General features: G+C 40.6%; 1 protein-coding gene across 5 annotated transcripts in view; it reads left to right on the top strand.

The window, feature by feature from the left end:
- ADCY2 (adenylate cyclase 2) overlaps window positions 1-18,978 on the top strand; it is a 433,944-nt gene that overhangs the window by 305,485 nt on the left and 109,481 nt on the right. For all 5 annotated transcript variants that reach the window (NM_020546.3, XM_011513942.3, XM_047416645.1 and 2 more), the window contains exons 8-12: window positions 5,122-5,280; window positions 6,084-6,216; window positions 7,589-7,765; window positions 11,234-11,277; window positions 15,535-15,615. In NM_020546.3, coding sequence (NP_065433.2) covers window positions 5,122-5,280; window positions 6,084-6,216; window positions 7,589-7,765; window positions 11,234-11,277; window positions 15,535-15,615 — 594 coding nt within the window. The remainder of the gene's footprint in view (window positions 1-5,121; window positions 5,281-6,083; window positions 6,217-7,588; window positions 7,766-11,233; window positions 11,278-15,534; window positions 15,616-18,978) is intronic.

Genomic DNA, 18,978 nt, shown 5'->3' on the forward strand with positions numbered 1-18,978 from the left:
TTCTGTACCCATTAAGCAGTAACTCCCAATTACCCCTTCCCCAGCTCCTGGCCATCTCTATTCTACTTTCTGTCTCTGTGATTTTTACTATTCTGGATATTTCACGTAAATGGAATCATATAATATCTTTCCTTTTGTGTTTGGCTTCTGTCACTCAGCCTAGTGTTGTCAAGGTTCATTTTTGTGGTGGCATGTGTTAGCACCTTTTGATGCTTTTAGTGTAATATTCCCCCGTAGGTATATACCACATTTTATTTATTTTTTGATCATTGATGCATCAGTAATATCTTATGTGTGCAGAATCTCAGTAATGTCAACAGGTTTGAGGGACCTCTCCCAATTCTTGCTGATCCCTCAACTTAATCCTCAAGTCAGGCAATGGCTTTGCGTCCCTGTTACCTGCCACTTGCGGAACAAGGGATTCCACATTCCTCCTCTGTTTGTTTCATGTATAGTAGACAAGGTGATCAATAAAATGGTTATTTTGGGCTGGGCATGGTGGCTCATGCCTGTAATCCCAGAGCTTTGGGAGGCCGAGGTGGACTGATCACCTGAGGTCAGGAGCTTGAGACCAGCCTGGCCAGCATAGTGAAACCCTGTTTCTTTTTTTTTTTTTTTTTTTAAACTTTCAGTTCTAGGGTACATGTGCACAAAGTACAGATTTGTTATATATGTATACATGTGCCATGTTGGTGTGCTGCACCTATTAACTCGTCATTTACATTAGGTATATCTCCTAATGGTATCCCTCCCCGCTCCTCCCACCCCACGACAGGCCCCGGTATGTGATGTTCCCCTTCCTGTGTCCATGTGTTCTCATTGTTCAGTTCCCACCTATGAGTGAGAACATGTGGTGTTAGGTTTTTTGTCCTTGCGATAGTTTGCTGAGAATGATGGTTTCCAGCTTCATCCATGTCCCTACAAAGGACATGAACTCATCCTTTTTATGGCTGCATAGTATTCCATGGTGTATATGTGCCACATTTTCTTAATCCAATCTATCACTGATGGACATTTGGGTTGGTTCCAAGTCTTTGCTATTGTGAATAGTGCCACAGTAAACATACGTGTGCATGCGTCTTTATAGCAGCATGATTTATAATCCTTTGGGTACATACCCAGTAATGGGATGGCTGGGTGAAATGGTATTTCTAGTTCTAGATCCTTGAGGAATCACCACACTGTCTTCCACAATGGTTGAACTAGTTTACAGTCCCACCAACAGTGTAAAAGTGTTCCTATTTCTCCACGTCCTCTCCAGCACCTGTTGTTTTCTGACTTTTTAATGATCGCCATTCTGACTGGTGTGAGTTGGTATCTCATTGTGGTTTTGATTTACATTTCTCTGATGGCCAGTGATGATGAGCATTTTTTCATGTGTCTGTTGGCTGCATAAATGTCTTCTTTCGAGAAGTGTCTGTTCATATCCTTTGCCCACTTTTTGATGGGGTTGTTTGATTTTTTTCTTGTAAATTTGTTTGAGTTCTTTGTAGATTCTGGATATTAGCCCTTTGTCAGATGAGTAGATTGCAAAAATTTTCTCCCATTCTGTAGGTTGCCTGTTCACTCTGATGGCAGTTTCTTTTGCTGTGCAGAAGCTCTTTAATTAGATCCCATTTGTCAATTTTGGCTTTTGTTGCCATTGCTTTTGGTGTTTTAGACATGAAGTTCTTGCCCATGCCTATGTCCTGAATGGTATTGCCTAGGTTTTCTTCTAGGGTTTTTATGGTTTCAGGTCTAACATTTAAGTCTTTAATCCATCTTGCATTAATTTTTGTATAAGGTGTAAGGAAGGGATCCAGTTTCGGCTTTCTACATATAGCTAGCCAGTTTTCCCAGCACCATTTATTAAATAGGGAATCCTTTCCCCATTTCTTGTTTTTGTCAGGTTTGTCAAAGATCAGATGGTTGTAGATGTGTGGTATTATTTCTGAGGGCTCTGTTCTGTTCCGTTGGTCTATATCTCTGTTTTCGTACCAGTACCATGCTGTTTTGGTTACTGTAGCCTTGTAGTATAGTTTGAAGTCAGGTAGCATGATGCCTCCACCTTTGTTCTTTTGGCTTAGGATTGACTTGACAGTGCAGGCTCTTTTTTGGTTCCATATGAACTTTAAAGTAGTTTTTTCCAATTCTGTGAAGAAAGTCATTGGTCGCTTGATGGGGATGGCACTGAATCTAAAAATTACCTTGGACAGTATGTTCATTTTCCCTGTTTCTACAAAAATACAAAAATTAGCCAGGCCTGGTGGTGCACGCCTGTAACTTTAGCTACTGGAGGCTGAGGCAGGAGAATCACTTGAACCCAGGAGATGGAAGTTGCAGTGAGACAAGATCACACCACTGCACTTCAGCCTGGGCAACAGAGCAAGATTCTGTCCAAAAAAAAAAAAAGTTTATTTTGTTACACCCCTACCCCCATGAAAGGGCAGCAACAGAGAGGACATCTCAGCACGTTCCAGGAATTGTTTGTCCACTTTCATCCTCTCTCCCATGCAAGGATGTGCATTTCCATTCCCATTCATTGAGCCGTGCGTGGGATGGGTACCAGACAGGAATTTTCATTTTTTAAGCTGGTGAGGGGAACGTGCACACCTGGCACTTGGGTTTTTGCCAGATGGTCTCAGTGTCAGGAACCAGCAGCATGAGTCCCAGACAGCTGCCTGCTCTTCTCTCTGTGTTCACACCTCCACACTTAGCAGCACCTCATTCCCTGCTAGCCCAGGCACCACGGCAGAGGCACTTCAGCTGCAGTTTTGGAACATTTCCAATGCTTAGAAACATTTCTTTTTTCTGCCATGAACATGTAAATTATTTTTAATCAAGTAATATTCAGGACCTTGATTTTATAAGGGATTAAGCCTTCTCTTAAACTGTACTGTTTACCTACTACTCTTGCAAGCTTTAAGCAATGACTTCAACGTTTTTCTATAGATCATGTAAATTGAATATACATGCAACAAAACATGTGGCTAGTTGGCCGGGCGCGGTGGGTCACACCTGTAATCCCAGCACTTTGGGAGGCCGAGGCGGGTGGATCACGAGGTCAGGACATCGAGACCATCCTAGCTGACACGCTGAAACCCCGTCTCTACCAAAAAACAAAAAATTAGCTGGGCGGTTTGGCGTGCGCCTGTAATCCCAGCTACTGGGGAGGCTGAGGCAGGAGAATGGCGTGAACCCGGGCGGCGGAGCTTGCAGTGAGCCGAGATCACGCCACTGCACTCCAACCTGGGTGACAGAGTGAGACTCCATCTCCAAAAAAAAAAAAAAAAAATTGTGGCTAATTGATTCATTTGAACCCATGGTCAACTCATTTTTTAAAAAAGACAACATGGAGACGGTTTTAATGTTTTAACCAGTCAGCTCGTTAAGGAGTTCAGCTCTGTCAAGTGGACAGTCTGAGACTCCTTTTTCCTCCCTTTTTATCCTTCCTTGGCTCTCTGCTGGCCTATTTTGGTAAACAGAAACGCCACGTGGTTGGAAATGTCCTCTCAACAACATAAAATGTTAAGAACAATTATGGGTTCTCTAATGAATTTTTCAGAATCATCATTGCTCAAAGACAGAAGCACAGTACATTTTTCAAAAATGACCTTGATCCATTAGTAAACTTGTGTGAAGTTGTGCTGTTGCACTGGGCCTTGAACCCTTTGAGAGGTAAACAATCCACTTGGAGATTGTGTCCACCCAGGCTGAATTTCTGCTGAGGGCCGAGATGGAGACAGACAGGGAGTGCTAGTTGCCCTCAGGGCAGTTACAGGACAGAGGCAGCAAGGCTGCCTAGACCAGCCTAGAGGGGAGAGAACAGAAAGCCTTTCTGAGTGGGGCTGTGCCTGAGTCCGGAAGAACAATGCCAGCTGGCCACATGACACCAAAGGGAGGCTTGGGGGCATGGGGAGCAGGAAGAGGAGTCAGTATAAGCAGAGTCCGGAGGTGGGGACACCCCGGTGCTGGGTGCTTGCACAGCCACAGCCTGCAGATGCAGGGCAGAGGGGTGGGGGTGGGTCTCCTTGTCCTGCTGATGCTCTGGCTCGTTTTGTGGGGCAGGAAGGAAAGTTTTGGATGACTTGCATAGAGCCAAATGGGTAGCTGGGTTTTTTGCAAAAGCAAGAAAGGAAGACAGTGAGGGCAAAAGAGGAAAGGAAATGGGGAAGGAAAATATCTTTCTATATTCTTTTTTCAGAGTGCGATTTATTTTTATATCGTGGGTCCGTTTTGTTTGATCATTTTTAGCATGCTAAAATGGTATCATTATATCATTTAAGCATGACATACATGCCTATGCCATTTTGAGATGTTAATGATTCATTTCACTACAATTCACAAGTGGTGGTGTCTTTATTTGATTGTGCTGCAGTCGGCATCGTTGCTTCCCTCCACATTGCCTCTTGGGGTAATTCTTTCGATGTAACTAGGAACATCTTCCTGTATACTTGTTTTGCAATACTACTTTAATGTATTCAGCCAGCAAGAACAAATAAGCATTGCCAAGCATTTCCATTTTTTCTTCATTGAAGTTCATCATTTTTCTCTGTTAATGAGTTGGTGATAAGGTCCTAAGAAGTATTTTTTCTCTTTTTGTTGAAGAATGTGCACAACTGGAAAGGCTTAATGTCATGATTATTTTGCTAAAAATTCTTATGTAGGCTAAAATCATTATTAAGCTCACAAATGAGCTATATTGTTCTCTTGTTAGCAGAAGATATTCGTTGGAGAGGTACATTGTGCTAAGAACTAAAATTGCAAACCCTGTTTAAGACTGTTTCTGACATTACAAGGCAATGTCACGTGATTCTAGTATGAAAATGCAGACATGTGCCAGCACATGGTAGCTGCTTGATACATATTCATTGCAGAAGTAAAAGTTATAGCCAAAACGTTTTGTCATCACTATAGTCTGGCCTGATCTAGCTTTAATAGCAAGAACATTGGTCTAATCTGGAGTGACTGGAAGGAAAATCCCTTCTTAGCTCAGAGGAGTGATCTCCTGCCATAGGAAGGTTTATGGTCATTTCCGACAGTTTGAAAAATTCTGAATAATAAAATACTGGGAAAATTGGCCAAGAGTTAAAGGAAACAGTGGATGTTACTTGATCATGATCTTACTTCCCTTCTCTTTAGGAAAGTGAGGGATGCTACTGGAGTTGATATCAACATGCGCGTGGGCGTGCATTCTGGGAATGTCCTGTGTGGCGTGATTGGTCTGCAGAAGTGGCAATATGATGTGTGGTCACATGATGTGACCTTGGCCAACCACATGGAAGCTGGAGGGGTCCCTGGGTAAGGCCAAGCATTGGATTTCTTTCTTCAAGCAGGCAGAACTATTAGGAATGACAGATTATCAGCCTAATGACGGAGTGCTCAGTTTTTGATCACTTCTGTTGCCTCTGTTGGTATCATGTTACTCACGCCCAACGGCCTCTTATGTTAAGCAGATAAAGACGAGCTCTCAAGTCCCTGCGTCACGACCCCGTTGTCCATAGTTCAAAGACTGTGAATATCAGACAGTAAATTACAAACTTTTACTTATTTGCAAATGTATGAATAGAGATCTGATTTAAAGATGTTTTACAAAACAGTCCAGATATGGCATCTGTCTAGAACTGTTGACCTCTAAAACCATTATATTAAAATAAGTGACTACAGCATCCTTCTCTGGGGAGAATAACGTATTTCAGTCAAGAGAATCTTTATCAAGGGCTGTAGTTTAGAGAAGCACGAGAGCAAGCACTGAGAAAGAAAGTCTACATTATTATACAGATTAGCATACTTCCTAAAATGCCCATGACATACATTTCAAAGATATTCTCATAAAAATTCAAGATAATCAAGTTGTATTTGCTATAATTCACCACACCCACCATGCAGGTTTCGGTGAGTGCAGAGAAGCTCCAAAACTAGTAGTGCACGACCTCTAAGAGCATCTTTCCAAAGCAGTGGTCAATAGAATATAAACTTTAATTGCGGTCAGTGCTCCTAAGAACTTTAGTGGATAAATTATTTCAGAAATCATGAGCAAATAGAAACCTTTCTTCACACTTATCCTTTTATGTCTTGACTGTGATTTTAAAATGCAATTTCAGACGTGTTCACATTTCTTCTGTCACCCTGGAGCACTTGAATGGCGCTTATAAAGTGGAGGAGGGAGATGGTGACATTAGGGACCCATATTTAAAACAGCACCTGGTGAAAACCTACTTTGTGATCAACCCCAAGGTCAGTATCATTGTAAAGAGTCTATGATGAAAAGGGAGGAGGAGCAAATTATTGATATTCATAAGTGTTTTTAGTCAATATCCAATATAATTCTTTGCTACTCTTTGTCCCCAAAATATTTTAAATGCATATGGTGGTTTAATTACAGAAGATGTTTTGTAATTATGAATTCAAATACTTATTAAATGAGCAGTTGAAATGCACTGCTTTTCTGCAGGGGTGTTGATGCAGGTTGCTAGTTCAGGCTGTCATGTGTGTTAGTCGGTGTATTCCTTGGTGGATGCTGCATCTGAAAGCCTCCCAGTGGGCACAGCTGTTGATACCTGTCAGTTGGGAAATTAAATAAAGAGAAAATGATTGACTTAGGGCTTTAGAAGATAAAAATCCAATTAAGTAAAATAGGATGAACATATACAAAAAAAGAAGAGAAGAAATATTTGAAAGATTAACACATAAATATTACATAGACATGCTTGCGAGATTGTCTGTATGCACAAGCATATTTACCTTCCGTAACATAAGAACATCTACTGCCTGAGATGATCCACCCCATACAAACAGTGAGAAACTATCTCTTATTTCATTCACACCACATTTAGGCCAGATCAAGGGGCTTAGAGTTCTCATTTCTTTTAACCCTTCTCAAATTCCTGCCAAATGGGTATTATCACTATTTACAGATTAAGAATCTGAAGCTTTCAGGGGTTATGTAATTCTTCCCAAATTACACAGCTGGTAAATGGTGCAAATATCAGCAAGAAAGACCTCTGAACCATGAAAACCAATATCATAAAATCAACAAGATCAACTTTATGGACATTTACTTATGGTAGCATCTGGGAAGCCCCAGTTTCACCTTTGAAGACAAACTTTCAACTAGCTTGATGATCGATCTGGAGATAGATGTGTGGCAAGCAGCAGGGACTGGGAGATGATGGACGGGGGAAGGCTCAAAAAATACATGTACAAAGAACATTACGTTCAGGTAAAGAACACCAAAACACGATGTTTGGGGCTATGTAGCATTAGAAACAGCACTACAGTTATCACTTTAGAAAAACACAACCATCAAGAAAAAGCTAAACAGATCAGCACATTCTGTTTTAAGAATTTACTTAATAAAAAATGTCCATTAACATATCATTATTTTTTTCTAAGTCTCAATTACATGTATGTTTTGCTAGCTGAAAAAAGATTCCCTCAACTCAAATAGTGTGTTCCCCAGTAACACTGAAGGAATAAGGACAGAAAACACAGAGGGCGAATAGAGGGCTGTCAGGAGGAATGACCCTAGTCCAATGAGGTCGATGCCAAAAGGATCATGTGTGGCCCTGTGCTGTGCCAGGTGTGATGCTTTGTTTCTCACCCCAAGGGAGAACGACGGAGCCCCCAGCATCTCTTCAGACCTCGCCACACCCTTGATGGAGCCAAAATGAGGGCCTCGGTCCGCATGACCCGGTACTTGGAGTCCTGGGGGGCAGCCAAGCCCTTTGCACACCTACATCACAGGGACAGCATGACCACAGAGAACGGCAAGATCAGCACCACGGTATGCCCTCCCCTGCCTCCAATGCCTGAGCACTGGGGGAAAGCTAACTTCCCAAAACCAAAGGCTGGGCATCTCCTGCCAAAATAACTCCTTTCTGTAAGAAACAAACTTATCACCTTCTTCTTCTCAGAGAGGCCCTTATGAACAACCATCAGGGTATGAGTGAGCTCCATGCTGACATTGCTAAGGGTTCCACCCTAGCGTGATTTTGCATTATAGCTTCATAACCCAAGACAGTGCTATTTACAACTGATAGTAGCAATTAAATACAACTATTTATTAATTGAGGGGTTTTTTAAGAAAAACTTCTATCATGAAGTAGAAAGCCTTGAGGTTCTTAATAAAAAGACAAAGGCATGATGCCCTTGGAGTTTAAGTAGTATCATCAAGCCCATTTCTTCATTGCCCAAATGTCCAGGCTGTGTGGGCAGCAGTGGATACTATCTTGTTATGGTTCCATGTTTCCCTGTGACCTCCAGCATATGAGAAAGCTCCTTACACCAGGGACATCTGCGATAAGATGGCTGCAATGGAGAAGGAAAATAGAAAGGCCCATAGGAGGAGAGAAAAGTAAATACAACCAAGCACTTAGGATAATCCCCATAGTATTTTTAGATTTTAAAACTATCTGGGGGTAAAATTTCATGTATAATGCTATTAAATGTGCTAAGGATGCAGTTACAGCTTTTTAAAAATACAGTATTACATAATTCTTATTGTCTGATGAGAAGGAACATGCCAGTTGTCAGGTGAAAGTGGAGTTTTTCAGTCGCCCTGGGCCCCCACCTGTCCCAAGGTCTCAAAGTGACACTCCCACTCCCAACAGGCAGGGGCTCAGCATTTATGTTTTGGCTTATTTATATTTCTTCTCCCAACTTCTCTTCATCTTTTTTCAACTAAAAAGTAAATGTGACTATCAGACGGAAGACCATGACCCATCAGACAATCCGTAAGATTGCACAAGTCCTAGCACTTGCATTTTAATAGCAAAGGAGGGACCATAGATAGAAAAATAAATAAATGAACAAGATCATGTGAGGTGCTGATGAGGGCCATGAGGAAGATAAAATTTAGTGATGGCATCTGGAGTGAATGGGATGGCCACTGTAGTAGGTCAGCTGAGGGAGTCTCAGAGGGAGAAATGAGTGAATAGGAAGAGGAGGTGGCAGAAGAACAAAGTCAGTGGCGCAAAGATGAAAGTGAGTGTGGTGTCCCCTGGAGACAGAGAGGAAGCTGCTGTGGCTGGAGCATCATGAACAATGAGCAAAGGGAGGTCATGGGGTGAGATGCACCACGGTAAATTTTATATTGCATTCTGTGTGCAATTGGAAGTCATGGAGAATCTTAGCAAGGGAGGGTCATGATATAATTTAGGCTTTGGAATAATGGAGCAAGACTGCAGGGGTCCCCGGTGAGAATGATACCCCCTTATTCTAAGAGTTTAGCAGTGGAAGCAACGAGAAGCAAATTCAGGGGCTAACGTGAAAGTAGAGCCAATAAGACTTGGTGATGGATTGGATATGCATGAACATTAGGAACAGAGATGAATCCAAACTTTTTGGCCCCACAGCTGGAACAATGATGATGCCATTAATTGAGATGACAAATACAAGGGGGAAACCAGATTATTTAAGATGGAAAATTAAGACTTTTCTGCTGGACCGCTTCTAACCTATAGTTAAGTGCAGTGAGGATGTAGACGGTTGGATCTGCAAGTCTAGAACTCACGGGACAGGTCCAAGATGGAGGCATGAATGTGAACGTGATCAGGTTGTAGATGACATTTGAAGCCATGAGACTAGATAAAATCATCAAGAAGAGAACAATCCAAGGTGGGAGGCCTGGGGCAGCTGGGGCCTTCCAGCATTTAGATCTGTTAGAGAAACAGCATCCTAGGACTCCAGTATCCAACCAGTGAAAGCCTATGTTTCTGTCACTCATGAAAAACAGTAATTTGGATAAGTTAGCCTCAGTCTTGCTAGTTAGTGCTGTGTCTGATAACTCCATTTCCCATTGGGATTTATTGTACATCAGCAATTGGTTGGTTGGTTGGTTTTTAAGGAATAAGAATCATATATAAATAGTCGAATGTGATTTCCTGTGCTGTTTTTCATGTGTTCCTGTGGGGAAAAGGCTTACTTTTCCAGGTATATTGTTGTTGTTGTTTATTTCTTATCAGCCTTTATTGTCTTAAGACTTAAGAGTGACTGTCTCTTTTATTATCTGAGCGTAGGATCCAGGAATGGTTTCAGTCTGACTTTAATCTGATGCTATGTGTTGATGAAGATGCCTTCTTCAAGATATGGCCAGAACTGTTGAGTGCCTCAACTTCAGAAATTTGTTTATAAAAATCAAAGGACCTCTTGAACGAACTCTATTTTCTTAACCGTCTGGTCCCACCTGTTGCAGATTCAAAGCCAGGCTTGGATTGCCTTAGTAGCAGTATAGCATACTTTAAGAAAGCCCCAAGTTTTTGGTGATGCATTAAGCCCAAACCACTTTGACTTAACTGTGTGTCTCACTCACTTTCAGAAAGACCTCACTGGAGTTTTCACTCATAAATCCCAGGGTCAAACAACTGACATTGCTGAAAGTGATTCCTTTATCTAATCCCCTATACAGAACTCCATTCACTCTTGATTCAACATTGATAGAGCTCTTGAATAATACAGTACTTTACTGTATGGAATGAAACTTGGAGCTCAATCACTTTTTCAAAAAAATCTTTCCTTTCCGTAGGCTAAATCCATATCTTAATATAACCTTGGAAATGAAAGCAGCAAACCAAAGTTTCTTTGGAGCAGTTTTGTTCCAACTTTTATTTTCATTCCCACTATAAATGTGTAAAGGCAATCTTTCCTTGAAAGCCTATTATTGAATATTTGACAGTGGCTTTTCCACTTATAAATTCTGTCTCTCTTCCATTTCTCTTGGGAACTACCAGCGCTCCTTTGCCGATTTCTTCATTTTGTCCAATGGTTTGTGATTTCACATACTTAACCAATGGTACTGTTTCTTAACGCCCCAGTTCAGTGATGGGGATGACTACAGATTTTGTGGTTATATTTTTGTTCTTTCTACAGCATTTTCTAATATTTGTCTGATACCAAAGTCCATTTTCACATGGTCATAGGTTACTGATGGTAACTCTGATATCAGTCGCCGGCAGGCCACTGTTTGAAATCAGATCTGATAATACAGGCTATAAATCTTAAAACTCCAGACAACAATCCTCATGCTTCTAGCATCCAGAGTTTAGAGATTACAGCAACATTCCAAAGATAAACTGAGTTTACAACTTGATTCACACTTAGGATTAAGCTCTTTTTCTCCACATGAGTAATTAATTATTTGTTAGTTAAATGTTACTGTCCATGATAAAAGAGGAAATATGTTTCACCTAATTATCATTGCAACATTCTTCTTGAAACATGTTTTGACAATTAATAACCTTTTTTCTCAATATAGGATGTACCCATGGGTCAGCATAATTTTCAAAATCGCACCTTAAGGTATGGTATCTCTCTATCTGATTTTTTAAAGCTTATTGCTCTTTATTCATTTCTGAGAGTAATTATCATCAATTATGGTAATTTCAAGGGCTACTTCTGAAAGAGCAGCTCCCCCTGAAAAGCCCTATTAAATTGCTTTCAGCTTCTAAAAATAGAATCATTGGGGTCTTATTGTTAGAATTGAGAGAGGGAGAAAGAAAACACCACCTGGTACTCATTTTAGAATGTTAAACTGTTTTCCTAAAGAGACTCTTCTTAATATTAATGTGTGGTAAAAAAAAAAGTGAATTGTCTTAAAATGGGTATGTTGCTTACAATTACATTTTTCTGCCTGTAATCCCAGCACTTTGGGAGGCTGAGGCGGGTGGATCACTTGAGATCAGGAGTTTGAGACCAGCCTGGCCAACATAACAAAACCACGTCTCTACTAAAAATACAAAAAAAATTAGCTGGGTGTTGTGGCATATGCCTGTAATCCCAGCTACTCGGGAGGCTGAGGCATGAGAATCACTTCAACGCGGGAGGCAGAGGTTACAGTGAGCCGAGATCGTGCCACTACACTCTAGCCTGGTCGACAGAGTGAAACTGTGTCTCAGAAAAAAAAAAAATAAAAAGAAAAAAGTTACACTTTTCTGTTGAATTCTAAAGGTAAAAGCAGGATAAATCCAGTCTGTCTATAGTGAAATAAAGGGTTATCCACTCTGCTCAAAAAAAGAGAAAAGTTTCCCACAAATGTCTCCACACGCCCTGTCGCAGCCACCGTAAAATCCCAGGCACCAACTCCTTTTTTCCCCTGTTCCTCTATCTTTCGGGCACAGAGTTTTACTTTAATATTGGTTTGGGAGTTAATCAAATCAATATTAGGACATTCAGATAACCAGTGTAAGATGTAGTTCCAAACCCTAAGCCAGGCTTTCTTTCTCCCCAGAGAGGTCAATTTATTGGAGCTATTGATAGTTTTATAGAAACTAAGGAAAAATATGAGATCTGACCTATTTTCTATAGAAAAGGAATTGTACCCAAGTAAAAATGAAACATAGGTTGTAACCTGCTGAAACAAGGCAACAGGGCACATTAGCCCAGGATCCTTCTAAGTGACCGTTGGGATGAGCTCTAATTTGGACTTCATGCAAAATTTGACATTTTAACATTGAGATATAACATTCATAGTCTTTATGTTATGAGGATAATTTGGTTCTTGAGCTTTTGAAGCATTATAATTAAGTGGCATATACTGTAATAAAGAGAACTTAAGCTAATTTGAGGCATATTAGAGAGCCCATAAGACACCTGGAGACAGCACGGTGCCTCTGGCCAATAAGATGCTGACACATCTATGAGCAACTGACCACAGAAATGTCACAGACTTCCTTTCACTTTATATTCATAGTCTCTTCTGTTATCTGTCTCTTCCTTCCAGCAATCCTGCTTTAAGAGTCTATTTATAGAAGTTACGATGGGTAATGTGTCATGGAACCCCAGTATTACGTGGGGCAGCGTAAGCCGGGATGAGTGCAGTCTGGAAGACAATGATAAGAAGCTGTTGTTTTTATTTGCACTAGGCTATAGAAACTCTAATTTGGTCTCTGCAGCGTTACTGCAAGGCAGAATCTGTTGCCATTATCATTTTGGAAGGGAAGAAGCTGAGGCACAAAGGGATAGGAGAATGCCAGCGTCACATGGCTGGTGGAGATGAAGCCAGCATTTGTGCCCAGGCTCTGTGACCGCAGAGCACAAGTTCCTAACTGCTCTTCAGGCTTGCCTGCTTTAGTAAAGGCCTCTTCCATATTTATTCCATTTGTCTCTGTAGTCATTGATCTTTGGTGGCCTCAAGGCCTCCTGGAGAGAACCCCAGTTCTGAGTCAGACTTACCCAGGATGCCCAGGCACTTCCAGGCTTTGTAAAGTGGACTGCCTCATAATACCTGTCTGAGCCTCCAGCCTGGCCCACACACTCCTGTCACATGTCCCTCCCCATGCCTGCTTAGACCTATCAGCTCAAGCAAGGTGTTGGCATGGGCCTGGGGAAGGAGCCAGGGAGACAGAATGGAGATGTGTTGGACACAGGGGTTGGGGTCCTAGAGCAGTGGGAAGGCCAATGGTGGAGCCCAGGGGAAGGCACCAGGATGGGAAGATGAGAGATGCTGGAAGTCAGAGGGAGAGAGTCCTGGAGGCAAATGAAGACTCCTGGTGGGGAGATCATCAGCCCCAGGGGACCTTATCCTCTCCATGGCAGAGGTCACAAGACTGCAGAGACAAGAAAAGTGTCTGTATGTCAAGAATTATTGTCCGGATAATTAGTGAATTCAAATCATGCAGAAAGCATGCATTTATTGGCTACTTTGCATGTCACATTTACAGCATTGAGCTCTCTACAGGCATCATCTAATCAAATCCTAAAACAGGTTAACAAAGGCAATATCATTGTTAGCACTGGACAAAATATCGAAGAATTACATTTTCCTGTAAGCCTCAACATTCTTACACTGCTCCTTCTTAGACTTTGCAGAAGAGAAAGCCATCAAATTGAAGTCAAGAAGCTCAAGTCTAGATGTGGGACTGATAAACGTTAAATGAAGGGTCTAAGGTCCTACAGGTCTCAGCTATAAATGAGAATGTGCAAGCCACACTAGTTGCTTGGTAAAGGATTCCTTGCTTTTTTTTTTTTTTAAGGAAAATAAAAATTAATTTGCCTGCTTCAAACAACTTGGAATTTGGTATGCTAAAACCTCTTAATTCATTTGGCTCAATATCTGTGGGAGGATCACTTAATATGATTCATTTTATTTTTTTAACCAAAACTGCTCTCAGCCTGTTTGAAGAAGACAGGGCCCGAAGGCACAAATCCACAAACAGGATGATGGAATTGGAAAACTCATCCATCTCATTAATGATAATTCTGTGAGATTTAATTACAGATAAATGAGACTTTGCATATTTAATGCTATTCTTATCTATATGTAGAGGCAATTCTGAACTCAGGAAAGTGTGATTTTTATTCCAGATTAGATGGTCTATTCATTTGTAATCTAATCAACCATAACACACAGAATTCATGCCTAAACCATGATATAGGCATAGCCTTGTTCAGGCTAGCAGGCCGTGCTTTTAATCTTTGCAGTGGATATTTAACTTCTAAGAATAGGTACTATTTTGGTTTTCTCCTGACATCATTCTCATGCAAATTGTCAAATTAACCTTGGAGAGCTCTTACTATTTGGCACAATTTATTCAGCAAGTATCTTATATTATGGCTAAAGGTTATTTGCTTCTGAAACTAAGTGAGATGGTTTGCAAATAAAAGTGGAGTTTTCTGTGAATAGTGCTTTGAAAACTGAGGAGCATTTAAATACATACAATTAAGCTTTGGTATACCTGAAATAAGACTGTAGCTCTGCAAATTTTTGAGAGTTGACCAAGGAAAACACGAAAAAGGAATGACTATTTTGTCAACCAAGCCACATTTTTACAGGGGAATTTCCAGAACCAATGTATTCTTTCATAAAATAAAGTTTATGAAGGCAACAAGTCAAAAGCTAATACATCTCCTAGGAGAGAAAGTTACTTTATCTCAAACACCGAGTATATATCTTTCAGTGTTGCCTTGTAAATGCCTAGTAAATTTCACAGTGAGTGAATAAGGACACATCTTTACTATCCCAAAAACTTTAGTTATTCACTCAATCCAAAGAGTGGCTGGATGTTAATAGAGAAGAGCCTGCTCATAGGCTGTTGTTTCTTTTTCTACTTGATTAGCAGAATTAAACAGAGCTTTTGACATCATAGAAAAATAGGCTTACTGACACAGAAAGACAAATTTGGCATGTTCTCACTCATATGTGGGAGCCAAAGAAGTTTATCTCATGGAGGTAGAGAGTAGAATGATAGATACCAGAGACTATCTGGATGGGAGATGGGTGGGTAAAGAGAGGTTGGTCAGTGGGCCCAAACTTTAGTTGGATAAACAGAATAACTTCTAATGTTTGATAGCAGAATAGGGTGACTGTAGTTAGCAACAATGTACTGTGTAATTCAAAGTAGTCAGAAGAGAGAATTTGAAATGTTTCCAACACATAGAAATGATAAATACTTAAGATAATGGATTCCCTAAATACCCCGATTGATCATTGCACATGCATGCAACAAAATGTCATCTGTATCTCATAAGGATGTAAAATATTATGTATCTCTAAAAAATTGGCTTAATATTTATTTTACTAATAATATCCTTACCCATAATATTCCATTTTTCATATAGAACCAAGTCACAAAAGAAGAGATTTGAAGAAGAATTGAATGAAAGGATGATTCAAGCAATTGATGGGATTAATGCACAGAAGTGAGTACTTCTTTCTCTTAAATTATCTTTCATCTTTTATTATGTTCCAGTTGTATTTTATCATGGGCTCTGCAATAGTTACCATGACAAAGCCAAGTTTCTGAGACCATTCATTCATTTCACTTCAGTTGTCCCTCAGAATAGTTTTTGTTAAAAGTATTTATTTCATCTTTTTAAAAAATATTTAATCCCTGCCTAGAAAATATTCCCAAGTTGATTGCTGATAAACAACCTGAGGTGTAATTGGAAAGAGGAAAATTACAGCACGATGTGTTCAGCAAGTAATATTTTTAAAAGATAGATTCTATATGGGAAAACCTTCAAATTTTAGCATATGATACTATCCATCCAAAATGCATCTGTTCTTATTACAAAATTAATGTTGAGATACCTGTGTTCTAAATCCTAGAAGAGAATTAGCATTGGTGAGTAATGAGAGGAAGACTGATTTTGGGGGCACAAAATGTCATTTAGCCTCTGAGGCCAAGAATTGCTGTTACGGTTTTAAATGGTCCAGAGTTGTGGGAGGAAAACAATTTGAAGAAGGTGATGGCCTTCTCAGCCTGGACAGAATGACTGCGCTCATCACCCTTCATGTTCTCCTTGGGTACGTGTGTCATAACTGAACCCATGCAGAGCAGAAGGCACATGGCTCAGTATGGTGCCTGGTGCACGTCAGACATTCCATTCCTGTTTGTTGAGTTGAACTGTAGTGAAAACATCAGGAGGTCCAAATGAAAAGCCTTCACAGAAAAGCTTCCATCCTTATGGAGACCTATTTAATTTTTATCATGAAAGCTGACTCTTGAAAAGTGTAAATGATTTTCACCTAGAGCTCTTTGTCTCTAAAATTAAGTTACAGGGCCTCAAATAGTGCATGGCTTTGCAAAATGCATGCCTGTTTTAGATTTTTTTTTTTTTTTTTTTTTGAGACAGAGTCTCGCTCTGTTGCCCAGGCTGGAGTGCAGTGGCACGATCTTGGCTCACTGCAAGCTCCACCTCCCGGGTTCACGCCGTTCTCCTGCCTCAGCCTCCCAAGTAGCTGGGATTACAGGCGATCGCCACCACACCTAGCTAATTTTTTGTATTTTCAGTAGAGACAGGGTTTCACCGTGTTAGCCAGGATGGTCTCGATCTCTTGACCTCATGATCCACCCGCCTCAGCCTCCCAAAGTGCTGGGATTACAGGTGTGAGCCACCACGCCCGGCCTTAGATTGTTCCTTGTAGGTATTTATTATCGAATATTTACAGGGCTTATGAAAGAATCGCATGAGTGTGATATGTGTGTCTATGGTGGGTGTGTGCCTTTGTGTGTCAGTGTGAGTGCATATTTTCTAAGCAATAAAGCATCTTGGTCAGGGAAGAGTTGCCATTCGGATGTGCTAGAACACTGAATTGTCACCTGTCTAGATGCCCTTCCTGTGCTACAAGTAGGTGAAGCCTTCTTCCCGTCACAGAGTGTCCAAGGCCCACTGGCAGCACCAGGGCCAATGCTCTGTTTTGCCTGGCACTAGGGTCAGTGTGAAAAACAACCTCACCTCTGCCTCAAACTGTCACATACTGAGAAATAAATAACTTCCTGCAATCTAACAGCAGCTAAAACCTAGGGAGGCACCTGATTTCATAAAATATAGGTGGAAGGATGCTTTCACTGAAGCAGAGGAAATAGCATCTGATACTGTGTGACTCGCCAGAATAAGACACAAGATCAGAAGAAAGAGGGAATCTTGTTATTTGACAAAAGTTAGCAAATAATAATAATAATAACATTAATATTTTAAAAACTAATTCCTAAAGTTAACCTCAGCATGTGTTAACGCAGGACACCTATCTTTTTAAATTATTTTTGTATGCACCTTTTGGAACATTCCTACCAAACAAATCATCAGAGAGTGCCACCATTGTCATTGCTTTATTGTTGTTAAAGTTGCTTTTAAATTATGTGTTTGCTTTGTGTCATTTAGTATGCAAATATATGTTTAGTTAATACCTTATGTTTTAATGTAGTTGTATTTCAAAGTAATGCTTAGTGCTGGTGTAACTGCTTATGTTGTAATTTTCCCAACATGTTTCAGAAATTAAATAGAGAAAAGTGTGCTGTACTCAAAAAATAAAAGGGAAATTTTTCAAATGGAAGCTCTTATGCATATATTTTTGATTAACCTCAGTTACACTTTGTTATGCCTTACTCATTAACTCCTCTTGTTCTTTGACATGAAGTTCTTCTGATCTTTGTATTTTCACTTGAGGACTCAACTGGGGCTCCAGGCTTGATGTACCATTCACTTGTTTCCTGCTATTGCCATAAAACAGTGATTTCTGTGCAGATTTTTGCTTATTCATTCACTGATGTGTTGAACACGCATTTGTTAAAAGACGACTGATGTCACCATCTGCTCAGTCTTTCCCCAGTGCATGCCATGGTGGTAGGGAGCTCTCTGGTGTCTTGTCTTAGAAGGACTCCAAGGACACTCATACTATCAGATCAGGACCTTACTCTTATGACCTCATTTAACCTTCATTTCATTCTTAGAGGCTCCATCTCCAAATACAGCCACACTGGGAGTTAGGGCTTCAAAGATGAACTTTGGTGGGGGACACAAACTTGCAGTTCATAACAATAAGAAAGTGGTCTTCTCATTTAGTACCTCCTTTGTGGCAAGGACTTGCATTCCCATATTCCTGAATAAATCTGGGTGCAGGTGTGGGTGTACCCATGCCCCTCTAGTAAGCATAGTATTCAGAATTTCCTTTAGTTTCCGTAACCTCTTGACAAAAGAAAAAAAAAGACCTTAGTGTAAATAAGTAGGGAATCACTTATTGTGATAACGAAGGATGGGGTTGACTTTCTTCATGCCATAGACCACTGGGGTCAGGAAAAATGTCAGGAGGCCCTAAATCAAGCACACACACATTCCCTCTCCCTTCTCTCCTCTTCTCTCCCCTCCACTGATCTTGTCTTTCTCTGTAGTTCCAATCCCCCCAAGTAATAGTTGACCTAATCAGCACACACGAATCTATTCCCTTCCAAATATCCAAATCACATTTATCAATCTCCTTGTTTTCTATAAGTCAAAATATTCCCAAGTCAATTGCTGATAAATAACCTAAGGTGTAATTGGAGAGAGAAAAATTACAGCATGATGTGTTCAGCAAGTCACATTTTTTTATTATTAAACTTGAAGTTCTAGGGTACATGTGCACAACGTGCAGGTTTGTTACATGTGTATACATGTGCCATGTTGGTGTGCTGCACCCATTAACTTGTCATTTACATTAGGTATATCTCCTAATGCTATCCTCCCCTCTCCCCCCACCCCATGACAGGCTCTGTTGTTTGATGTTCCCCGCCCTGTGTCCAA

This window comes from Homo sapiens, chromosome 5, assembly GCF_000001405.40.
Source record: "Homo sapiens chromosome 5, GRCh38.p14 Primary Assembly".
Lineage (NCBI taxonomy): Eukaryota > Metazoa > Chordata > Mammalia > Primates > Hominidae > Homo > Homo sapiens.